The sequence below is a fragment of the Homo sapiens genome, chromosome 4 (assembly GCF_000001405.40).
Source record: "Homo sapiens chromosome 4, GRCh38.p14 Primary Assembly".
NCBI lineage: Eukaryota > Metazoa > Chordata > Mammalia > Primates > Hominidae > Homo > Homo sapiens.
Window position 1 is genome coordinate 183,258,537 of NC_000004.12, and position 26,123 is coordinate 183,284,659.

At 38.2% G+C, this 26,123-nt stretch overlaps 1 protein-coding gene and 1 non-coding gene across 6 annotated transcripts in view; one reads left to right on the forward strand and one right to left on the reverse strand.

The window, feature by feature from the left end:
- WWC2 (WW and C2 domain containing 2) overlaps nucleotides 1-26,123 on the forward strand; it is a 221,521-nt gene that overhangs the window by 159,280 nt on the left and 36,118 nt on the right. For 2 of the 5 annotated variants that reach the window (NM_001410864.1, XM_024454225.2), the window contains 10 exons: nucleotides 1,103-1,192; nucleotides 2,374-2,996; nucleotides 6,442-6,571; nucleotides 7,152-7,232; nucleotides 7,329-7,415; nucleotides 10,435-10,627; nucleotides 12,544-12,705; nucleotides 22,240-22,433; nucleotides 24,172-24,370; nucleotides 25,690-25,854. In NM_001410864.1, coding sequence (NP_001397793.1) covers nucleotides 1,103-1,192; nucleotides 2,374-2,996; nucleotides 6,442-6,571; nucleotides 7,152-7,232; nucleotides 7,329-7,415; nucleotides 10,435-10,627; nucleotides 12,544-12,705; nucleotides 22,240-22,433; nucleotides 24,172-24,370; nucleotides 25,690-25,854 — 1,924 coding nt within the window. Of the gene's footprint in view, nucleotides 1-1,102; nucleotides 1,193-2,373; nucleotides 2,997-6,441; nucleotides 6,572-7,151; nucleotides 7,233-7,328; nucleotides 7,416-10,434; nucleotides 10,628-11,458; nucleotides 11,512-12,543; nucleotides 12,706-22,239; nucleotides 22,434-24,171; nucleotides 24,371-25,689; nucleotides 25,855-26,123 lie in introns of those variants that run through there. The other 3 variants (NM_024949.6, XM_047416198.1, XM_047416199.1) reach the window with 2 other exon arrangements.
- On the reverse strand, nucleotides 15,925-16,028 carry LOC124900896 (small nucleolar RNA U13). The gene has a single exon (XR_007058538.1). It is a non-coding gene; the product is annotated as a small nucleolar RNA U13 (small nucleolar RNA).

Consider the following 26,123-nt stretch of genomic DNA (forward strand, 5'->3'; position numbering starts at 1 on the left):
AAGTGGCTAGTTTTTATATCACCACTTTTCAGGGCATGCTGAGGCTTTGAACAAGTCAGATTTGTTTTTCTTCTCTGTCAAGCACTTTCTCATACATTACTCCATTGATCCCTTTAACAGCCTTACCAGGGAGACACAGGGGAATTATAGTCACCATTTTACAGATGAGAAAAGTAAGACCCTTGATTCAGCGACTTACCAAGGATATGCAGCTAGTAAGCTGCAAATCAAGATTAGAAACCCAGGTGCCCTTTTTCTGAATTCCATTCTGCTGCTTACTGCTCTGAACTACTTTATTTCATGATGTCTAAAGACCTTCACACGACATAGACTATACTTGCACAGACTCTTAGTTGCATAAACCCCTGGGTACTTGGTATATTTTAAAATGACTTACTATTCAAGTATACAGTTCTATAATGCTGTACTCTTAAAAAAAAGAAAAACTTTTGCAGTTGAATGTGGATGAAATTTTATGATAGTCCGACGCGGATGATGAGATGTGCTGTAGCTCGGAAGGGGAATCACTTTTAGGTCATCCTCTTCCCTAAACAGTTGAGCCCAAATTAGCCCACAATGGTATTGTGGACTAAAATTGTTTCTTAATTGCTAATTCTTATCAAATCAGGGTTGGGAATGTTATCACTAAATACTATGTTGGAACAAGCGTTACTAAATTCGGTATTTAGGGTGACCTTTACTGTTGCTGTGAAATGTTTTAGGAAAGGGTTCCCAGGTCACAGATCTGTGTCAGGATTCTAGTCTTTGGTTAGTTTTTTGTTTCCTTGGTTATTTTCCTCCTCACTCTTCTTCCCCAACTCAAAGGACCATATTACTTACCCATTTAAAAAGATTCTAGGCTACCAGCAATTTTAAATTCTCAGTGACATGGTGATGGGGCATAACGCTCCCTCCCCATCCTTCAGCTTGGCTCGTGCAGCTCTGCCCCCCACACTTCTTGCCGGTGTCCTGTTTTCTGTCTGTGGAGCCCATTCACATTTTTCCCTTGTGATCTGTAATGTTTGTACAATGAGAATCTTTCTTTCCTTTTAGTTTTCATATTTTGTTATAATCATTTGAAAATAATTTTTTTTCTTCCTAGATTGAGATTGGAAGAGAGAAGAAAAGAGCTGCTACAGAAACTTGAAGAAACTACTAAATTAACTACTTATTTGCATTCACAACTTAAAAGGTGAGCTTATCAGATTTTTGAGGGGAAAGCTTTTCTCCGAATAGCATGTTCTTGTTCATCTTTGATTACTTTTCACTTTATTTCCAACTACTTTAAATAAAATCATTATAGTAGCACAGTTACTGTTTGAGTGATCAGATTTAAAGTCACATTTTCTTTTGCATGAACCCAGTGTCATATTTGGAATACATTTGAAATATGTTATAGAAAGAAGATATGTTTTAGCTGTCAGTACATTTAGGATAATAACGCATTTTTCCCATTGCCCCATTTTTTAAAAAGGGAAAGTGGAGGAGCTTTGCCTTAAAATAGCCATAGATTTCCTTACATTGATGAGAAAAATACTCACTCCTCACATTCACACACAAAGAGGAAACGTGAGCGAACCCAAGGGTCTTTTGTGTGACTTCTTTCTTTTTATAAGCTTGCCTTCTTTTCTCTAAAAATAAAAAGCTTTTTTTTTAATAAAAAACTACATTAACGCTTTTGCCCTGTTTTTTCTTGCTTTCAATATTTTTTAATGGCAAAGTGGCTTCTAGATGTCTATGCAAATAAACTTATCAACAGGTATTTGATTCCTTTTATTTTTGCAAAAGGAGGATAATGTTTAATAAGAATAGATTTGCTACTTAAAGAGTATTTGGAGAGCAAGGCTGAAAAGGTTAACGAAGAAGCATAGACATGGTATACAGTTAGGTGCCACATGATGACTTTTTGGTCAAGGGCAGACTGCATATATGATGGTGGTCCCGTAAGATTGTAATACTGTATTTTTACTGTGCTTTTTCTAGTTTAGCTATGTTTAGATACACAAATACTACCATTGTGTTATAATTGCCTACAGTATTCAGAACAGCAACTGCTGTGCAGGTTCGTAGCCTGGGAGCAATAGGCTATACCACATAGCTTGGGTGTGCAGTAGGCTGTACCGTCTAGGTTTGTGTAAGTACACTCTGTGATGTTTGCACAGTGATGAAATCACCTAACCATGCATTTCTCAGAACTAGACCAGGTCGTTAACTGACACACGGCCGTAATATAGGGAGTTCCTCTGTCCCTGGCCATTGATTCCATTCTTTAGCAGGTTTCTTCCCTCTGCAGATCTGAAGGAGCCAGTAGAGATTGTGATTAGGTTTTCCATTTTGTAACAGATTTTATGGTGTGTGCTTTTTGTCTTTCAGCCTCTCTGCCAGCACCCTGTCCATGTCATCTGGGAGCAGCCTGGGTTCCCTGGCATCGAGTCGGGGCTCTCTGAACACCTCCAGCAGAGGGTCACTCAACTCCCTCAGTTCCACCGAACTCTATTACAGCAGTCAAAGTGATCAGATAGATGTGGATTATCAGTATAAACTGGACTTCCTTCTGCAAGAGAAAAGCGGTTACATTCCTTCTGGACCCATCACCACCATCCATGAAAACGAGGTGGTCAAGTCCCCTAGCCAGCCTGGCCAGAGTGGACTCTGTGGAGTGGCAGCTGCAGCAACAGGCCACACTCCTCCACTGGCTGAGGCCCCGAAGTCTGTGGCCTCCCTGTCCTCGAGGTCCTCCCTTTCCTCCTTGTCTCCTCCAGGCTCTCCCTTGGTTTTGGAAGGCACGTTTCCCATGTCTTCTTCTCATGATGCCTCTCTCCATCAGTTCACTGCTGACTTTGAAGACTGTGAGTTGAGTAGCCATTTTGCAGATATCAGCCTCATCGAAAATCAGATTTTGCTGGATTCTGATTCAGGAGGAGCCTCCCAGTCTCTTTCAGAGGATAAAGACCTTAATGAATGTGCTAGGGAGCCATTATATGAAGGAACTGCAGGTAAATGCAGCCCTTTGCTTTCATGTATTCCCTGTTAGTGATTTTAAGGAGAATGATTGGAGCATTATTTTTCCATATAAACAAAGGGTATGATTCCCCTTCTCTTTCTTTTGAGTAATCGTTTTGGCTTCATTTAAGAAGGAGCTTTTATTTATATACCTAGATATTTTTCATTATCAAATAAAAATTACCTTCCCTATTTAGTAGACTTAATCATTTAGTACCTGCTCAGTTGTCCAGAGACACTCTGTGTGTGGTAGCTGACTGGGAACATATGTTGTGAACATATTTCCAAGTAGATTCCAGTTCTGAAATAGCAAGGCAAAGAAGAGGATTTTCTTTTAAAAGTTGGCCTAAAACAGATTAAAACCAAGGCAATTAACATAGTAGCTAATTAGTACCAAGGTTCAGTGTTTAGATTGTTCAGGGAATTCTATATAAATACAGTTTTTGTTTCAAGCCAGACTCCTTTTCTGGCGAAAAGTTAATTTAAAACAGCAGGTTGCAGTGTATGGTATTACCCTGCCACCTTCTGGCCAGGTTAACAGTTGCAGCCCCGGGAAGGGATTACTAGAGATTGTAGTTCTTAGGCCTGCATTTGTATTCAAAAAGACAGAAACAGGAAAAATATCATTTTTTTGTTTGTTTGTTTGTTTTCCTTTGCAAAGCAGGAACTTTGAATATGTTAGATATGATTGTAAAGAGCACAAGATGTTTCCCTTGTTGGCAGATGATCACTGTTGGTCTGAGGAGGATGATCTGTTCCAGAGCTAGCTTGAGACAAAATGTGAAATAAAAGCCCCAGTGCTCATCTACAGCTGTCCTGTTCACAGCTACATGTTTTACTGACCACACAAAACAGGGCAGGGCTCTTTAGAAGTGCTCTCTTCCTGTTCCCAGAAGCATTTTTATTTGTATGTATGGTCCTAAGAATTCTGAGTAATTGATTGGCCAATTCAGATATGTAAAGACATTGACAAATCCACCTTGTTTCTACGGTTTCAAATACTGAAGAGCCAAGTGCTGTGCCCTGTCAGTGGCCTGGGCCTGTGGGAGGGCCCATGAGACATTTGTGTGGTTTGTGCGCCCTCTCCTGGGGAGATGTCAAAGCTACAAGTAGCAGGTTATGGAAATAACCACAAAGAAAATAACCAGGGGAATGGTGTGTGTACATAATGGCCCCAACAAAACAGAAAGCCGCGTGGGGCCTTCACCACTGCTTCTGGGAAGGAGTACGGTGTGTGTGCGTGCGTGCGTGCGTGTGTGTGTGTGTGTTAGGGGGTGCATACCACTCCTGGAACCAGCCAAGCCTCCACTCACATTTTAGTCACCAACGTGTTTGGGTAAGCACACTACCCAATCTCTCAGGATTATGATTCCTTATCTGCAAAATGGGGTTGCTACAGTAATCCTTGTGTCAGGCTGAAGGATTTAATGCAGTGATAACATGTGAAGCACTTAACCGTGTCTGGCACTCAGCACACAGTTCATGGTAATTATTAGTACTCTGTGACAGTGATGATGATAAGTAATAAACTCTGGCTAAACACAGTTCTTACTGTAAACCATGGAAAGCTATGAGAAGAAGAAAGAGAAGAAAATGGAATGTTCTGTGCCAGCGTTCCTTCCTGTGCTTTGAACTTACATCTTTTGACCTTTCAAGGTAGTTTTGCTCTTCCTGTATTTGGAGTGGTATCTAGTGACCACTTCTAACATTCAGCCAATTTGGAGGGGCAGTAAGTGAGGCTGGATGCTGGAGAAGAGGGGAGAGAGTGATGAGGGAAAAAGTTGCCTAAAGTCTGTCACCCACCCAGTAACCCTGAGGTCTGGGAGTCCTGTCTTGCAAGTGTGTCTGGTTGGCCCATGCCTTGCTCCTGACACTTGGGTCTTGCTGTGTCTGAAAAGTTTGTGGATGGAGACAGTATCTCTGAACCTTTGTGAAACAGTTTTTAACTTTTTAAATGCATATATTAGAAAACTGCTGTTAAAAAGTTACCCTAAGAGAAAATACATCCAAGAGCTTTGATTGCAGATAATATTCAGTTGCATGTCTGAAAACAAGTGAAAGCGTATATTTAACCATAAAGGCTAATTCTCACAAATTAGCTGGGCATGGTGGTAGACATCTGTAGTCCCAGGAGGCTGAGGCAGGAGGATGTCAAGGCTGCGACGAGCTGAGATTGCACCACTGCACTCCAGCCTAGGTGACAGGAGTGAGACCTTGTCTCAAAAAAAGGAAAGATGAATTATCTTCAAGTCACCAGCACTTTTTTTCAGGGGACGTCTGCCCTGCATGTGGGGTGGTGGCTCCCTATCAGGGACGTTTGTCATCTCCCTCAGTGCTCTAGAGGCTTAGGCAGGTAAAGTCAAGTCCCTTTTACGTAAACTTTGCTGTCCAGTGCCAGTCCCTGCTGGATGACACCAACCACGTTGGAATAACTGCAAAGGCCTTCCGCAGTCAGTCACTGTCATTGTCAAAGTCAATTTCAGGCTGCTGTGGTTATTCCTGGGGGTAATCAATAAATCATGTCATCACCTTCACCCTTCACAAAGGGGGGTGGGCGGAGAGAAGGCACTTCATCATCAAGGAAAAAGCATTCCCACTGCCAGAAATAAAGTGGAAAATGCAGCAATCAATCCTGTAATCTGAAGCCTTAAAACTTAAACATCTTCACAAGATGTAAAGTCACGGCTCAGAAGGGGGCCAAAATGCATACCAATACAGATCCCTGCGCTCACTCTCACTCACTGGAGGATGAAAGAGCACCACAGGCTTGCAGCTCATTACAGTACAGAGCACAGCCTTAAATGAATGTTCCTTGCTCACTGCAGGATGCTGGTGTATGAATATGAGTTCGAGATAAAAGTTAAGTGGTCATTGGTACTAAAGATTCAGTAGCACAAAAAGTTTTTTAATGGTATTGGCTGGTGAGGAGTTCCTGTGAGTCAAAGACATTTTTTCTTTATTTCTGTTAGAATAGTAGCACAGGAGATGTAGGATATGGCATGTGGAGAGAAGGGGAGACCAAAAGAGGTGGAAACTTATCCATTGAGTAGCTAGAAGCTCTCTCTGTGATAGAAATGTCACTTGAGGGAGATAGATCATTTCCTATTCCTGAATATATGAACACTGCAGTGAATGCTTGAAAGAAAGAGACTAAGGACCAATGAGAATTTGTGTAATTCATCCCTTCCCTTAAAATATTTCAGGACAAAGAAAAACCATATTCTCTTCCAAGTAATGACTGAAAAAACTGGCGTCCCAGGAATCTTATAAGTCATAGTGCCTTGAGTTGTTTACAGCTGTAGATTTGAATATTAACATCCTTGACTCCCAGAAGGAAATCTTATTTTGGATTGCTCATGACCAAACTATGTATGTATTTAATACTTAACTTTTCCAAATAAGACATTCTGATTAGTGCTCTCACCCTCCCCTCCATAGATGTGGAAAAATCATTACCAAAAAGAAGAGTGATCCACTTGCTTGGGGAGAAAACCACTTGTGTGTCGGCTGCTGTGTCTGATGAGTCTGTGGCTGGAGACAGTGGGGTCTATGAAGCTTTCGTGAAACAGTAAGGATTCAGCAGGGGCGCTTTTAGCTCCAGCGAATCTCCATCGCCGTGGATGTGGGTTATATGCTGTAAATGGACTGCTACCATTAGTCCGCTCTTTGGCTTAGTAAGGACTTTAGCCGTTAAAGAAGTGGTGTGCCTGAAAAGTTCAGTATATCAAAAATGACTTAGCCATGGAAATTATCGATAAACAGATTGGTGTACCCAGAGGCAATTGACCCTCTTTAGAATTTAAAAACCTTGAATTTAGTGGGAATATTGGAAGAATTCACCAGACCCTGTTTGGCACATGAAGCTTCTCACGTGTATTTCTGAAAGTCTGAAATGTCTCAAGGGTGTGGTATATTTCTAGTAATAAGGAAAGTAGTCATCAGAGAGGCTTTGCCCTAAAGCCCAGAGGCGGGCTCTTCTTGAAAAGAGCCTCTGAAACAGTAAGCTTTCGCTGGGATCAGTTCCACTGGGAGGGCATAGGAGTGCTGTTAATTTGGATTTTCATTCAGAATCACTAAGTGGCAAACTGTTAACCATAACAATCGATAACCCCATTAATTAACTGTTCATCTACTCCCTGTCCATATAGACCTAGTGAAATGGAAGATGTCACATACAGTGAAGAGGATGTAGCCATTGTAGAGACCGCCCAGGTTCAGATAGGACTCAGGTAAGGAATGTACGTGGGAAAGGAGCAGTTCTGACATCTGTGCAGGGCAAGTGGCCTGTGGTGATTCCTGACTTCATTTAGCCTCTCTTTTGACAGATACAATGCAAAAAGTTCAAGTTTCATGGTGATTATAGCACAGCTCCGAAACCTTCATGCCTTCTTGATACCTCATACTTCAAAAGTGTAAGTAAAATCAGCGAAGATCAAATTGAGGAACTTAAACATTTCCATGTAAGAGAATTTTACACTGTAATCATACAGTTCATCAAAATGAAGATACGGAAAAGACATAGCAGGGCTGATCATGTCTAAATGAATGGCAGATAAAGATGAGAAGGGAAATGTGAGGAAGACATATTGAGTTTTAATTCTTACTCAACTGATTCTTTCTAAGAGTAGAAGCCAAGACATTTAATCTCTTTTTTGTAACCAGAAGCACTGTTTTATGCTGTGTTGGAATTTGATTGAAATATGGGTAAAATTTTTGTTTTTGTGTAATTGTTACTACTGTTGTTTAAGGAATTTTCTAATCTTTTACATTAAAATGTAGTGATTAAATTTTATGTATCTGTACAACATTGCCAGTCAAACATTTTATCATGCTACATGTAAGAGTATGTTTTTATCATCAAGCATTTACTTCCCTGTGACCAGTGAGTTCTTAAAGTTATTTCACTTCATCAAACCAAGAATCCCAACAAAGTGATGACATAATGCTACACAGTCCATTGCTTAGAGACTTTTTGCTTCCTGACAGATAAGCCTAAAGATCTCATGACAAATAAGTCTGGAAGTCTTAGACACCACCATTCACATTTTCTGACATCAGAGTTTCAGTGACTCTGAAGGGCTCATGGCTGGAAAGTACCAGGAAGAATCCAGACTTCGACTTAGCACTATGACGTAGAATCCGGAATATGCATGTCCACTCTGCATTGAAACTTCCTGTAAGAAGTGGATCTTAATAATATTTTGAATATGCAGTGCAAGGCTTTGGAAATTTAAAAAGAGCTGTTGAGGGGTGATCCCCAAGACTCTATACCCAGCCAGGTGAATGTTTTCCTTAATGATAGAGTATATTCCTTAGTGATAAGACTTTTAATAGAATAAATTAAAGAGTTCTGCATGTTTTTCCTACAGAGTTGCTTGTAAGTTCACCTCCTAACATTCCAATAATCATCAGAAAGAAGAAACTGGATCTAAGAGAAAAAGAACTAGATAGAAATTATGTAGTTGACAATAGAAGAATAGAGATAGTGGCTTTCTTTTTTTTTTTTTAAGAGATGGGGTCTCACTGGGTTGCCCAGGCTGGTCTTGAACTCCCTGGGCTCTCCCACCTTGGTCTCCCAAAGTGCTGGGATTACAGGCGTGAGCCACCGAGCCCAGCCAAGATAGTAGATTTTAATGTGTTGACAAGCATCAAAGCTGGAGGTAGGATAGGATTCCAGGAGGAGGGTGAGCTTAGAGAACTTCCTGAATCAAAGTGTGGACTGTCCACATCATTAGTGAGACCAGTGAGGAGAGCAGGCATCACATAGAAGTGCCTAGATCAACGCAGAGAGCCTGCTTCCCAAATGCGAGATGAAAAACACCAGTCAGCGGTGTCCAGGAAGACTGGCTTGATATAAACTGTGACTTCTCCCTACCAGTAGATAAGCTGTGATGTTGGAGCATGCCATTGGTGGCCTTTTAGTAAAGCAAATCATGGAGAAGACAAGTCTACCAGAGACTGAAACAATAAACAGTGAGAACTAATGCACAACTTCAGGAGAAAACTACAGAACACCCCAAGAACACACACCTTCTTTAAACTCACTGTAAGGGTGCACCTGCAATATGCTCTACTTCAACTAAACCAATCACAGTCATTCTCACTTACCTCATAGGATGTCACCAAGTCCCTTCTGGAGGCATGGTGATACCTGCGTAGTGTAGGACCAGTGAAATACTCAGCCCAACCAATGAGCAGACATTTGCTCTTCGGCTCCCCAGCTAATGTGCAGGCACTTGTTGAGTTGGTGCGAACCTTCCTGACATATATAGCAATCTTTCCTTAAACCCACATGTAAAAGCCTTGGCCTAAATAATGACACTGCTAAACATGACAGCTAGTATGAAATATTCTTAAAATTGTTCTTTTTTTTCCCAACCTCAAAAGTTATTTTTTGATTATTAATTGTGACAAGCAGAAAAGATTTTCTTCTGCTGAATCTTCGGCCTCCCAGGGACAGTGAGCTGTGTCTTAGTAAGGCTCTTTAATCAACAGCAGTGGGCTTCAGGCCCACTAGGTTTTCATTGCTGAATCTCCATAATTAATATTGATATGAAATACAAAATAATATGACATTCCTCAGTTCTGCATTTGAATTACAGTTTTTCTAACGGAGAAAGGCATGTTTTAGAATCTAGATTAGACAAGCCTGGAAATGGGGGTGGAGGGGATAGACTTAGCGGTATTCTCTTCCTGGGATTTAAAGGAAGTTACCTCACGCTCTTTCTAAGAATTGTGGGTCCTCATACAATGTGTGCTCAGAAGAGTCACTTTAAGGTAGTATTAGAAGTTATTGTTTTTCTATAACTCTTCCTCTGAATTTTACAAAGCACGGGACTCTTAAAACAGTTTGTCGTATCTCAGAATTTGGAGATGCTAGACAGTGATATTTTTGAACCGTTGTTTCATCTGTTTTAAATTTTCTTAACAATATGCTACTGAGCCTTTCTTTTTCTCTAGTAGGATAATGTATTCCATTCCTGGGAGGTGATCATCAGCATCTCTTGTTTAATACTCAGGATGAGGATTCTGTGAGATAAAGTCACCAGTATCTACTTAGTGTGTTCCCACCTTCCCAGGCTCAGAAATAACTTATTTTGGAATTGGCTGTCCATGGGGCAGGTGGGACGTTAAATTCGTCTGCCCTACGGATTTTCTTCCTCTTCACTTTCCTATCATGTGCCTTTGCTGCAGTCTCGTGGTGAGTGGAGGCTGGGCCATTGCATGCTCAGGGGCGTAGTCAGCTCGGGTGGGTTAAGGACAGAGCATCTATGCAGCTGAGCACGGACCCGTGATGGCAGCAACACTTTAGATTGATCTTGAACTCCACGATCCCTCATTTTCTCTCTTTGCAGATAATTTCAAATGATAGCTGTGAATCTGGTATAATTAAAGTACCTATGAAATCCATTTTATTCTTGTTCTTTGCAGATATTTTAGGGTTGCCGTTCTTCCTTCCTCAACTGATGTCAGCTGTCTGTTTCGCACAAAAGTTCATCCGCCCACAGAATCCATTTTATTCAATGATGTGTTCAGAGTCGCCATTTCCCAAACAGCCTTACAACAGAAGACACTGAGGGTAGACCTTTGCTCTGTCAGTAAACACCGAAGGGAAGAATGCCTGGTAGGATTCTTCATAATTCCCATTACCAAATAGCACTTAGATTGGGTGGTCTGAGGATATACTTTGTAGTTGCTATTTTGCCAGCCCTAGAAATCACTACAGACCTGCCCAACATCTTGGGATACATCTAGTGTTTGTTCATTTTTTTCTGAAGTAGTGGTTTCTGTTTATTCTCTTATTCCAGACCTTTAAAATCTGCTTATAAATTGTGATTTTCTGTAAAAGTTGCTTTCTATTTCTACCTTTTCACCACAGAAGAACTTTACCTTTGTGACAGCTATCACTCATGGAGTGTGCTTACCACTCCCAGTACCAATGCCAAGCTTTGCGTGACTGCTGTGTATATATTATCTCATTTAATCCTCATGACAACCTGATGAAAGATTGGTTATGAAATGGATGATTATCCACTATTTTCAGATAAGGAGCTGCTTAGAGAGGTAATATATTCAACGGTCATACAACTAGTAAGCGATGAAGCCAGATATCAAAAAGATATCCCCACATAATTACATAATTCACTGTTACAAATTAAAATTAAGCAAGACCACTGAGTACTATATAGTACCCTTATTCACCTCATTCTCCTCCACCACAGTATTGGAGCTTTCGGGAAGATGTGATGTTACTGTTTAAAGCAATATGACATTTAAATGCTACAGCAGAAGACTTCACAGTTAACTAATTGTGAGTTTAATACACTGTTGTGCGTAATAACCAGAAAACCATTATGTCCCAGTAAAGTTACATAAGTATTCAAATGCAGGCATCTAGAGATGTGCCATGTGTTCAGAAAACAATGTGAGTCTCCAATTGAGCTTTTCTCTGCAGTCCAGTGGGAAGCACAGAAACACATGTTTCATGATGAACAAAGTTTAAGAGGGGTAGGTTTCTTCTTAATTTTTCTTCTTGTTTTCTTTACTTGAAAAAAATATCTGATGATATTGTCTGACAATAAAGTTAGAAAGAAGCAGAGCTAACAGACTCGTTAGGCTATCAGAAAGGCTTTAGTATCATAGATGTCATATTTAGTATAATAGATGTCAGAGGCTCCCACAAAGTTCATAAATATTATATTGATAGCCTTAAAGAAGAGTGTAATTGAATTTAGATTTTGTCTATGTGTGATTTGGTGGAATATGGAAAGCCTTTATCCTTTACTTTTTTTGCCATTCTACTAACTTATGTATCTAAAGAAAACTGTTGCTTTTTGATGTCTTATTCAAGAACCAAAGTGGAGTTTTTATTTTTTTTTCAGTGGATAATGGGTTGTTTGTGAGTAAGTCACCTTTACAGCATATTATAAGAAGTACTATGAGGCCGGGTGTGGTGGGTCATGCCTGTAATCCTAGCACTTTGGGAGGCCGAGGCAGGCAGATCACCTGAGGTCAGGAGTTCGAGACCAGCCTGGCCAACATGGTGAAACCCTGTCTCTACTAAAAATACAAAAATTAGCTGGGTGTTGTGGTGCGCACCTGTAATCCCAGCTATTCAGGAGGCTGAGGTAGGAGAATCGCTTGAACCCAGGAGGTGGAGGTTGCAGTGAGCTGAGATCACACCACTGCACTTCAGCCTGGGAGTCAGAGCAAGACTCCATCTCAAAAATAATAACAATAATTTCACATTTACATAAAAGGCATGCTTAGTCATTAGGTCTTCGCAAAATGGTATCTCACAAACTAATCCCAGGATTAGCTTTTAGGTTGGGGGTTATTTCTTACTTAGTCACAGCTGAAAATATAACATATCCCCATGTTTTAAAAAATCCAGCAATGCTTTATGTCAGGAGAATTGTGTTTTTTTTACCCTAAAACAAGCTCATTCAATAATCTTTATTATATCAGAACAAATACTAATTTAAACATTTTATTTTCTCTTCCTTATTTTTTTTTCTTTGTTTTCTTTCACTTACATAGGCTGGAACTCAGATCAGCCTGGCAGATTTACCATTTTCCAGTGAGGTTTTCACTCTATGGTATAACTTGCTTCCTTCCAAGCAAATGCCTTGCAAAAAGAATGAAGAAAATGAGGACTCTGTATTTCAACCAAACCAGCCGTTAGTAGATTCTATAGACTTGGTGAGTCAAAATTAGAGTATAATATGAAAGTAATGTGAAATACATATATGAAATACATATATGAAAGTAATATGAAATATGGAATGCTACGAGACCAACATGCTTTTATCACTTTCACTGTCCTTCCTTTTCTCCTTTCACAACTTTGATTTTCCCAGCTTCCTAAAAAAAAAGAAAGTTAATTTCCAGCTTTGTTTCAAATATGGTTTATAAAAGGAGCACTCTTTTCTGCTCACACTTCCTTGTAAAAATAAACTGACATAGGGGCTTCACTGGTTTTAAGTGATCATGGAAAAAACCTTTTAATTTAAATATATACTTTTCATGTATTGTGTTCACATTGTTTGATTCCACTGTCAGGTTATACATTTGGCACTTTTATATTTTGCAGATTTGAAATTATTAAGCCAAAACAGTGTGTTAGCTTTTCATTTGTAACATCAATAGCCATAAGTATTTTCTATTAAATAGTTTTGTGAAGGCCAGGCGTGGTGGCTCAGGCCTGTAATCCCAGCACTTTGGGAAGCTGAGGCAGGCGAATTGCTTTTGCTCAGGAGTTCAAGACCAGCATGGGCAACATAGCAAGACCCTGTCTCTACAAAAATAACAAAAAAATTAGCTGGGTGCAGTGGTGCACGCCTGAAGTCCTTGCTCCTGGGGAGACTGAGGTGGGTGGATCGATTGACCCTCAGAAGTTGAAGCTGCAGTGAGCCATGATCATGCCACTGCACTCCAGCCTGGATGACAGAAAGAGACCCTGTCTCAAAAAAATGGGGGTTAGGTTGTAGCCAGCAACCATACTTCAATGTAGTACTTCAAAAAATTTACAAAGGGGCCTTTTGTGAGGCCGTTCATCATGAATTTGGCATTTGTGGTTATTGTTATTGAGTTCAAGTTTGTTTTAGATTATGAGGAAGGCATTTCCTAAGCAGAAGTCAGATAATTAAACAACAGTGTTTTATGGATCATCTACTGTGTGTGAGAAACTATAGTAGACACTGTAGTGGGTGGTGAAAGGGAAACAAACATAACGGTACATTTTAGATTACATACCCAGGCTTGTGATAGACACTGAACAACACATACAAAATGGCAAAATATGATGTTTTATCCTTAAGAATGCTTTTACAATGGTCACACTTTATGTAAGTTCTTAAAAATAGCTTTATTACAATATAATTCATACATCATACATTTCACCCATTTAAAGTGTGACAGTTTATCCATTTGAAGCACCCAACCCAGTGGTTTTTAGGATATTCACAGAGTTGTGTGTGCAACCAACTTTACAGTCTAATATTAGAACATTGTCATCGTCGCCAAAGAAGCCCTGTGTGCACGAGCAGAGACTCCCAGTTCTCCCTAACCTCTTTCCCCAAGGCAACCACTAATCTCTACTACAAGGCAACCACTCATCCCTGTCTCTAAATTTGCTTCTTCTGGACATTTCATGTAAGTGCAATAATACAATATTTGTTCTTTTGTGGCATCTTTCACTTAGCATAATATTTTCAAGGTACCTCCATGGTGTTGCAGTATTAATATTTTATTCCTTTTTATTCACACATAATATTCTATTGTGGATGTACCACATTTTATCTGTCCGTCAGCTGATGGGCATTTGGGTTGTTTCCACTTTTTGGCTATTATGAAAAATGCAGCTATGAACATTTGTATACAAGTGTTTTTGTGGACATATGTTTTCATTTCTCCTGGGTAGGTACCTATGAGTAGAACTGTTAGGTTGTATAGTAACTTTGTGTTTAATAATTTGAGGAACAGCCAAACTGTTCCTAGGTGTTTGCACCATTTTGCATTCCCATCAGCAGTGTATGAGGGTTCCAGTTTCTCCCTTGCCATGTGTTATCTGTCTTTCTGATTCTGGCCATTCTTGTGGGTGTGAAGTGGTGTTTTCACTGTGGCTTTGATTGACATTTCCCTAATGACTAATGATGGTGAGCATCACAGCCTTATTGGCCATTAGTATATCTTTTTTTTGAGAAATGTCTTTTCACATTCTTTGTCTATTTTTAAACGATGTTATTTATTTATTTTTAATTTATTATCATTATTTTCTTTTGAGACGGAGTTTTCTTCTTATTGCCCAGGCTGGAGTACAATGGCATAATCTCGGCTAACCACAACCTCTCCCTCCCAGGTTCAAGTGATTCTCCTGCCTCAGCCTCCCGAGTAGCTGGGATTACAGGCATGCACCACCATGCCCAGCTAATTTTGTATTTTTAGTAGAGACGGGGTTTCTCCATGTTGGTCAGGCTGGTCTCAAACTCCCGACCTCAGGTGATCTGCCCACCTTGCCTCCCAAAGTGCTGGGATTACAGGCGTGAGCCACCGCACCCAGCCTGTTTATTTTTTTATTATTGACTTATAAGAGTTCCTTACCTATTCTTGATGCAAACCCCTTATCAGATAAATAATTTGCAGATATTTTCTCTCATTCTGTGGATTGTCTTCTCACTTTCTTGATGGTTTTATTTACAGCACAAAAGTTTTTAATTTTCCTAAAAGTCCAGTTTATCCATTTTTCAAAAATCCTTGTGCTTTTGGTATCATAGCTAAGACTGCTTTGCCTAAACTAATATCACAAATATTTATTCCTGGGTCTTTTTCTAACAGTTTTAAAGTCTTATATTTAGGTCTCTGATTCATTTGAGTTGTTAACGTGGATCCAGTTTCATCTTTTTGTATGTGGATATGCAGTTGTCCCAGCACCATTTATTGCAAAAACTGTTCTTTCACCTTGAATTATCTTGGCACCCTTGTTGAAAATCAAGTGTGAGGGTTTATATTTCTGGACTCTCAATCCTGTTCATTAATCCACATGTCTGTACTTAAGCTAGTACTGCACTGCTTTGATTACTATAGCTTTGTAGTCATTTTGAGATCAGGAAGTGTGGTTCTTCCAACTTTGTTTTTCTTTTTAAAGATTATTTTGGCTATTCAGAGTCCCTTGCATTTCCATAAGAGTTTTAGTATCAGTTTACTAATTTCTGCAAAAAAAGATAGCCAAGATTTTCATGGGGGTAGAATTGGACCTGTAGGTCAGTTTGGAAGATACTGTCATCATAACAGTTCTAAGTCTTCTGATCCATGAACATAGGACGTATTTCCATTTATTTAGGTCTTTAATTTCTTTCAATAATATTTCATAGTTTTCAGAGTCAAAGTTTGCATTTCTTTCATTTTTCTTTTTTATTTTTATGTCAGATGGGTAATGTGCTGATGTCCTAATGAGATTTGAAGGAGGCACATGTCACACATGAGCATGAAAACCTAATCATCACACTTAGGAACTACAAAAGGATCAGTATGCGACTTCTTTTGTTAAACTTATTTCTAAGTATTTTATTGTTTCTGGTGCTATTGTGAATGGAACTGGGCTTTTAAAAGTTTTGTTCATCATGGCCCCATACAACAACATGAAAAAGATCTATACTATGACCAAGTGAGATTTATCCTAGGAATGCAAGGTTGGTTTAACACTTGAAAATCAATAAGTTATATCAGATATTTAATCATTTAAATGTTTTAATCATTTAAAACAAAGTTTGAGGACCCACTGAAACAGTGTGATGTTTCAGTACATGTATTCATTATATAATGATCAAATCAGGGTAAATTAACAAATCCATCACCTGAAACATTTATCATTTCTTGTGATGAGACTATTCAAAATCCTTTCTTGTAGCTGTTTTGAAGTATGTAATACAATGTTGTTAATTACAGTCACCTTACTGGGCATTAGAACAGCAGAACTTATTCTGCTTCTCTAACTGTAACTTGATGTTCCTGTTGAATAACCTTTCCCTTTTCCTCCTCACCCTCCCTACTCTCTCCAGCCACTGTGGAACTGTTTTCTCAGTTGCATTTTTAAGTGTTTGTTGCACAGTTGATTTTATCTTGTATCCTGCAACCTTACTGAACTCATTTATTAATTCTAATAGTTTTTTTAGTGGATTCCATTAGATTTTCTATAAGATCATATTGTTTGCAAATAGAGGTGATTTTACTTCTTCCTTTCCAGTCATATGCCTTTTATTTCTTTTTCTTGCCTATTTGCCCTGGCTAGAACTTCCCAGACAATATTGAAAGAAATTGTAAGAGCAGACATCCTTGTCTTCGTCCTGATCTTAGTGGAAAAGCTTTCAGCCTTTCACCATTAAGTATGAATTTGGCTGTGGCTTTTTCATAGATGTCCTTTATCAGAATAAGGAAAAGCTCTTCTTTTCCAAGTTTGTTGACTGCTTTTCATCATTAAAGGCCGTTGGATTTGTAAAATGCCTTTGTTGCATCTGTTGAGATGGTCATGTGGTTTTTGTTCTTTATTCAATTGATATAATTTATTAATTGATTTTCAAGTATTAAACCAACCCTGCATTCCTAGGATAAATCTCACTTGGTCATAGTGTAGATCCTTTGTATGTTGTTGGACTCAGTTTGCTAGTATTCCATTCAGGATTTTCGTGTCTGTATTCATAGTATTCTTGTGATAGCTTTGGTTTTTATCACGCTAATTCTGGCCTCATAGTATGAGTTAGAAAGCATTCTACCTTCTGGAAGAGTTTGAGAATAATTTGTATTAATTCTTCTGTAAACGTTTCATAGAATTCACAAGTGAAGCCATCCAGTCCTGTACTTTTTTGTGTGTGGAATTTTTTGTTTACAGATTCTATCTCTGTACTTCAGTCTATTTAGACTTAGAAGTATTGCTTTTTGAGTCTGTTATTAGGTAAAGTAAATTTAGCATTTACCTTTAGCATTGCATTGCATCTTTCTGTTCAACTGAACCTTTTATCATTATAAAATGTTCCTTTTTATTGCTAGCAATACCTCTTGTTTTAAAATCTACTTTGTCTGGTGTTAGTAAAGCTACATATCAGCCTTTTTGGGTTAGTGTTTGCATGATTTATCTTTTTTCATCCTTTTACTTTCAACCTTTCTGAGATATTATATTTAAAGTATTCTACTTATAAGCAGTATGTAGTTGGTTTTGTTTCATTATCCAGTCTTAAAATCTTCATCTTTTAATTGAAATATTTAACTCATTTACTTTTAATGCTATTATTGATATATTTGGGTTTGATCCTATTATCTTCCTATTTGTTTTCTTTTAATTCCATCTTTATTCTTTTTCTTCCTTGTTTTGAATTATTTTTAAATTTTCGTTTTCCCCTCTACTAGATCTGCAGTCTTTTATTTTTTGCAGTTTCCCTGGAGATTATAGCATGAGTTCTTAACTTATTAAAAACTACCATGAATTCCTTTACTTTTTCCCAGACAATGCAAAGATTTTCAAAGACTTTAACTCCATTTTATTCCCTTTCCTCCTTCTCTGCTATTATTGTCATATATTTTGAATCTCACAAGATAGTATTATTGTTTCATTGACAGTTAGTATTCATTCAGATTTCCTCACGTTTTTACCCTTTTGTTATATTTTATTTCCTTCTGCATTATTGTGCTTCCATTTGAGACATTTTGCTTCTGCTCAAAGAATTCCCTTTAATATTTCTTTTAGTATAGACCTGTTAGTTATCTATTTCAACTTCATTTGTGAAGGATAGTTTTTTTGCTGCATATTCAGAATTCTAGGTCTGCCGTTATTTCTTTGAACGTATTAAAAATACCATTTTATTGTCATCTAGCTTCCATTGATTCTGTTGAGCTTTTGGAGGACAACTTAATTGTTAGTTCATACAGCATCATTTCTTTTTTATTATTATTATTATTATTATTATACTTTAAGTTTTAGGGTACATGTGCACATTGTGCAGGTTAGTTACATATGTATACATGTGCCATGCTGGTGCGCTGCACCCACTAACTCATCATCTAGCATTAGGTATATCTCCCAATGCTATCCCTCCTCCCTCCCCCCTCCCCACAACAGTCCCCAGAGTGTGATATTCCTCTTCCTGTGTCCGTGTGATCTCATTGTTCAATTCCCACCTATGAGTGAGAATATGCGGTGTTTGGTTTTTTGTTCTTGTGATAGTTTACTGAGAATGATGATTTCCAATTTCATCCATGTCCCTACAAAGGACATGAACTCATCATTTTTTATGGCTGCGTAGTATTCCATGGTGTATATGTGCCACATTTTCTTAATCCAGTCTATCATTTTTGGACATTTGGGTTGGTTCCAAGTCTTTGCTATTGTGAATAATGCTGCAATAAACATACGTGTGCATGTGTCTTTACAGCAGCATGATTTATAGTCCTTTGGGTATATACCCAGTAATGGGATGGCTGGGTCAAATGGTATTTCCAGTTCTAGATCCCTGAGGAATCACCACACTGACTTCCACAATGGTTGAACTAGTTTACAGTCCCACCAACAGTGTAAAAGTGTTCCTATTTCTCCACATCCTCTCCAGCACCTGTTGTTTCCTGACTTTTTAATGATTGCCATTCTAACTGGTGTGAGATGGTATCTCATTGTGGTTTTGATTTGCATTTCTCTGATGGCCAGTGATGGTGAGCATTTTTTCATGTGTTTTTTGGCTGCATAAATGTCTTCTTTTGAGAAGTGTCTGTTCATGTCCTTCGCCCACTTTTTGATGGGGTTGTTTTTTTCTTGTAAATTTGTTTGAGTTCATTGTAGATTCTGGATATTAGCCCTTTGTCAGATGAGTAGGTTGCAAAAATTTTCTCCCATTTTGTAGGTTGCCTGTTCACTCTGATGGTAGTTTCTTTTGCTATGCAGAAGCTCTTTAGTTTAATTAGATCCCATTTGTCAATTTTGGCTTTTGTTGCCATTGCTTTTGGTGTTTTAGACATGGAGTCCTTGCCCATGCCTATGTCCTGAATGGTAATGCCTAGGTTTTCTTCTAGGGTTTTTATGGTTTTAGGTCTAACATTTAAGTCTTTAATCCATATTGAATTGATTTTTGTATAAGGTATAAGGAAGGGATCCAGTTTCAGCTTTCTCCATATGGCTAGCCAGTTTTCCCAGCACCATTTATTAAATAGGGAATCCTTTCCCCATTTCTTGTTTTTCTCAGGTTTGTCAAAGATCAGATAGTTGTAGATATGTGGTGTTATTTCTGAGGGCTCTGTTCTGTTCCATTGATCTATATCTCTGTTTTGGTACCAGTACCATGCTGTTTTGTTTACTGTAGCCTTGTAGTATAGTTTGAAGTCAGGTAGTGTGATGCCTCCAGCTTTGTTCTTTTGGCTTAGGATTGACTTGGCGATGCAGGCTCTTTTTTGGTTCCATATGAACTTTAAAGTAGTTTTTTCAAATTCTGTGAAGAAAGGCATTGGTAGCTTGATGGGGATGGCATTGAATCTGTAAATTACCTTGGGCAGTATGGCCATTTTCACGATATTGATTCTTCCTACCCATGAGCATGGAATGTTCTTCCATTTGTTTGTATCCTCTTTTGTTTCCTTGAGCAGTGGTTTGTAGTTCTCCTTGAAGAGGTCCTTCACATCACTTGTAAGTTGGATTCCTAGGTATTTTATTCTGTTTGAAGCAATTGTGAATGGGAATTCACTCCTGATTTGGCTCTCTGTTTGTCTGTTGTTGGTGTATAAGAATGCTTGTGATTTTTGTACATTGATTTTGTATGCTGAGACTTTGCTGAAGTTGCTTATCAGCTTAAGGAGGTTTTGGGCTGAGACAGTGGGGTTTTCTAGATATACAATCATGTCGTCTGCAAACAGGGACAATTTGACTTCCTCTTTTCCTAATTGAATACCCTTTATTTCCTTCTCCTGCCTAATTGCCCTGGCCAGAACTTCCAACACTGTGTTGAATAGGAGTGGTGAGAGAGGGCATCCCTGTCTTGTGCCAGTTTTCAAAGGGAATGCTTCCAGTTCTTGCCCATTCAGTATGATATTGGCTGTGGGTTTGTCATAGATAGCTCTTATTTTGAAATATGTCCCATCAGTACCTAATTTATTGAGAGTTTTTAGCATGAAGGGTTGTTGAATTTTGTCAAAGGCTTTTTCTGCATCTATTGAGATAATCATGTGGTTTTTGTCTTTGGCTCTGTTTATATGCTGTATTACATTTATTGATTTGCGTATATTGAACCAGCCTTGCATCCCAGGGATGAAGCCCACTTGATCATGGTGGATAAGCTTTTTGATGTGCTGCTGGATTCGTTTTGCCAGTATTTTATTGAGGATTTTTGGATCAATGTTCATCAAGGATATTGGTCTAAAATTCTCTTTTTTTGTTGTGTCTCTGCCTGGCTTTGGTATCAGAATGATGCTGGCCTCATCAAATGAGTTAGGGAGGATTCCCTCTTTTTCTATTGATTGGAATAGTTTCAGAAAGATTGGTACCAGTTCCTCCTTGTACTTCTGGTAGAATTCGGCTGTGAATCCATCTGGTCCTGGACTCTTTTTGGTTGGTAAGCTATTGATTATTGCCACAATTTCAGATCCTGTTATTGGTCTATTCAGAGATTCAACTTCTTCCTGGTTTAGTCTTGGGAGAGTGTATGTGTCGAGGAATTTATCCATTTCTTCTAGATTTTCTAGTTTATTTGCGTAGAGGTGTTTGTAGTATTCTCTGAGCATCATTCCTTTTACTGCTTGTAAGATTCTTCTTTTTCTTTGATTTTTCAGCAGTTTCACTCTGATATGCTAATGTGATTTTCTTTTTGTTTATACCACTGAAATTCTTTATCATTTCATTCAGTTATTTTAGCATATTATTCATAAAAACTTAAATTTTTCTCTCAATGCCTTTAGTGTATGGATCATCTGTGGGTTTGCCTTATTTAGCTATTGTTTTTCTTGACTTTCACTCTTTAGTTCCTAATGAAATACTGGATGTTACGTATGAGAATAACTGATATCTTCCTCCAGAGAGGATTTTCTATTCTTCTGAAAGGCAAATGACAATATGGGTAGCTTACCTGAATCATGTGGGGATGTGAATTCCAGTTTTACTCTCCATAAGACTGAATGGGACAATGGAAATATCTGCTTACTATTTTAGCCTGATAGCAGCTGTTTTTTTTTTTTTTTTTTTTTTTTTGCTTTGTTTCTCAGCTTCTTGCTCTGCATATAGGCAGCTTAGGAATGGCAAATGCCATGACAGGAATATCATGTAGAATATTGAGCTCACTTTACAGTTCATTTTCTCTAACCTCTTGTGAGTTGACTGCCTTGGTAGTCCTGAACTCAATTTTAGTCTTCATATCCTACTGACACTGCCACTGTTCTAGGCAGCCACAGTCTGTTTAGCCCATGTACCTCACCACTAGAATTGACAAATACGCTAAGGGAAAAGAGTGGCCATGGCTCACCTTATTATATTTCTGTTCTACCTGGGATCTTGGCCCTCTAGTCCTGATTGCCTTTGTTGCTCTTCATTGCTTTAAAACATCTGAGAGGTTTTGCTTGTTTTGGGTTCTATTTTATTCAGCTTTCATATTTGTTTTCAGCAGGAGAGTTGAGTCGTCTTTACAGATAGAAGTGTAAATTCCCATCTGCTGAGTTTTTAAGTCATTTTTTCAAGTATATTATGTTAATTGCCGTATGCTTTACATTCTTCAGGATGCAGTGTCAGCCTTACTTGCAAGAACATCAGCTGAGTTGTTAGCTGTGGAACAAGAATTAGCACAAGAAGAAGAAGAAGAATCAGGACAAGAAGAGCCAAGGGGCCCAGATGGAGACTGGTTAAACACTTATTTCCTTTGCTGTTGGGAGCTCAAAGATGATGTGTTTACACGGCTTACAGTGAAACCTTTGTAGGCTCATGCTTTATTCCAGAATGATGGAATGCACTGCACCTTCAGGAAGCTGTGCTAGGAAAAGTCTTTCCTTGGTCATTAGAGAGTTAAGGAAGTAATGGCAAGATTATGGGCAAAGTTAAAACATTAGCCAGATTCTTTGTTCTTGTTTCGAGTAATTTTAAAACACTATTTTCTGAGCCTTTTTTTTTTTAGTCTAAACTTGATTTTGAAAGGTATGGTAGCTTATTGTAGAGTTATAGATAATTTTAAAAGTGACTCTATTTTTCTTTTAACTACCTGGAAGTACCATTTAGGCTCTAGTAAGACAAAGCAGGTATTTAAAAAACAACTTCTGAGTACTCATTTCTCTGTTACCACTCTTACCTTCTTTTTCTGTGTCCTTCCCTGTATCCATACCCAATCCTTTAAAAAGGGGAGGCAGAGGGGGAAGTTATTACAGTTATTGTCCAGGTTCATTTATATATAAAGAGCTCTCCTTCCTGGATTGTACTGTTTCTCTTAAAACAAATTTTAGTGAATATTTCACTTTTTAAGTATATATGTGAAATCATTTGAGTTAATTTTTAATATATAGTTGTTTATACTGTTATGTTTGGTTGAACTACTGTTAATACATGTGCATATACATATATAGCATGCATTTGTATGTGTGTATATAGAAAACTTTTTAGAAACTTAGAGTGACACGATATATCATAAATAACGCAGTCATGGACATTTGGAAGGAAGAGCTTCTACTGTGATGTAAAAAGATATAGATATACTTTGTCCTTATAAAAAGTCCTTCATAGTGAATAAAAATCACAGCACTGCAAAACAAATAAATACGAGAGTGATTATAAGGTTCATTATAGTATCTTTAAATAGTAATTCTCATATATGTAAAATACAAGTTGTTTCACACATATTTCCAAACAGTACTCTTAATATGTAAACAAAGGAATTTATAACTCATAGTAGTCATTAATGGTTCCCCTTGTGTTCACTTCATGGCTAGACATTTATTAACTAGTCTGTGCCAGTTTGTCATTATGTCACCAATCAAATTAAAGCTGAACATTTAGTTATCAATGGAAAGAATGTCTGCATTCGGAGAACATGAAACTCAACAAAGTATGAGATGTTCTAAACCATCCTAGTACTCCTGCTTTATATATTCCATATAAGCTGTATTTATATTCTGGAGCACCACTTATACCACTTATAATGCCACTTCAGCCCATGCCAGGGCTTTTGTTAAAAATGAGCCTTCTGCTAGTTCAGAAGAAAAACTTCCTTAACGTAGGATTCTCCCTGCTCGACTGTGAGTACACTCAATAAAATGAGGATTTAAAATCCTTATTTCTGTATTCACTGTCATATGATTAATTTTACAATAAATGAACAACGAATACCAAGTTATTTTATAGTGAGTGTCAATATTTTTAAATGCTAACATTAAACTCTATAATGTGATTTTCAGAATATGTCTATTTTGATATCTAGAAGTTAGGTTAAATTTCATGAGTTTAACTTTTTAGTACCACATTATGGTGATTTTGCTGCAGGTTACTAGAGGGTGAAGAGAGGATTTTTTTAAATGAGACATTTAGTTAAAAACCCCAGCCAAAGAAATGGCTTGGCTCATTGTGTGAGTCTGTTTATTTCCCAGATAACAACTTAGCATGCCCAGGTTGCGTGTTCATGGAGCATGCCTGCCTACCAAAAGTGTTTTGTTTTTGTTTTACCATAGGCTAACAATGCTAAGAGAGGCCTCTGATGAAATTGTGGCTGAAAAAGAGGCTGAAGTTAAATTGCCAGAGGACAGTAGCTGTACAGAAGATTTAAGTTCATGCACTAGTGTGCCTGAGATGAATGAAGACGGGAACAGGAAAGAAAGCAACTGTGCCAAAGACCTCAGAAGTCAGCCACCTACTAGAATACCAACACTGGTGACTATTCCGCTGTGCTGTCTTAAAACTGATACCTTACAGGCACCATGTGGACTAGGGAGATGCTTGTTTGTCTCCTTAGGTGTAAATTCCATGTCAGGATTTTGTGCCAAAAGCTGATCGTGAAAGGCATATGTGGGAATAGGCTCTAAGAAGCATCATAAATGCTTTAACGTTTTAAAATGGGCCCAAGATATTCTCCACTTATATTTGGAGAATATATAAGAAGAGAAATAGTGCTAGTTACTTTAAATCTATAAATATTCTGTGAATATTAAAAGTATTTTCTGAATTCCTAGGAGAACAACAGGGTGTCTTGTGTCAAGTTCCGTATATGTAGTAAGTTTTATTTCCATTTCAAACATGAAGTAAACATTTAAAGTTCATTTTGGTTAGGCGATGCCCTGATTAGAAAAGTGACAGGTGACTTAGTTTAGGCACAAGTGCCAACCAAGTTATTAAACAGGTAACTTTGCTAGTTAAGTGAGAGATGTATTGAGACTGTCAACCCCATATGGGGAAAATATTTTCAAGCTTCATGGATGCTCACACACTGGGGATATTGGTAGTAGAGTTTAGAAAATTATAATTTTGTATTCCTGAGAAAATAATATTATGCCCTGAGAACTTCCTTTCTCAAAGGAGCAAACTTTCATCAAGAGGCAGGTTTGGAATCAAATTATACCTATAAGATAAAAAATAGACATCTGCCTATGCCTACTGAGTTTGTATTTTGAGAAACTTCCATTTTTACTTAGGTTTTATTTTTGTTACATTTCTAAAGATCCAGTAAAAATACAACTCAGCTTCACAACAGTTATGTTTATACATGTATAATTGCATATTCTATTTAAACCTACAAGTTTGTGGTATATTTCATTTTCTTATATTTAATTATCTTTATCATTTATTTGGAAAACAATGTAATCAGAAAGTTGAATAAAGTTTAATGATGATATGTACCCAAATAGGATTCTTTATAGAATCACTTTAAATCTAAACCTTCATTTTTATGTTCAACCCTTTGGAGGCAGCACCTCTATTTATGGTGCTTGTTGGACAGATATCACACGGCCTGCTGTGCAGAACTTCCTAAGAACTTAGTACAAAACCATTCTTGGTAGAAAACTGAAGAACAATTCTCCCCAGAAGTACTTCAGAAGTACTATAGTCTGTAATGCAAAGCCTTTCTCTTAGGAGTGGCCATAGTGCTCCATGAGTCTCTGTTGTAACATTAGATATTTTTTCTTTCTTAGAAGAAAGGAGCATAATGTTTACACATCTTTCAGCTCCTGACAAATTGTTAACTTCTCTTATAGGTTGACAAAGAGACAAACACTGATGAAGCCGCTAATGACAATATGGCAGTTCGCCCCAAAGAGCGCAGCAGCCTGAGCTCTAGACAGCATCCGTTTGTGAGGAGCAGTGTGATAGTGCGCTCACAGACCTTTTCTCCAGGAGAGCGGAACCAGTACATCTGCAGGGTAAGGTGGCAGTGCTCGTGGTGAGGCGCTGGGACTGCAGCTTCTTCCCTGCTGGTAGGGAGTGGCCTGCAAAGGACAAGAGACTGTGCACTGGGAGTCCACATGACAACGACAAATGCTAGAAATGCTGTAAAACAGATGTAGAATATCACGTGCTTATGGTCCCTTTTAGTTTGTTTGTTTTTCCATCAAATTTAATGCCTCCTTGGTTCCAATGTGATTTATTTGGCAAGTAAGCGAAGTTTAAGGATCTGAGTGCTGAGTATTTG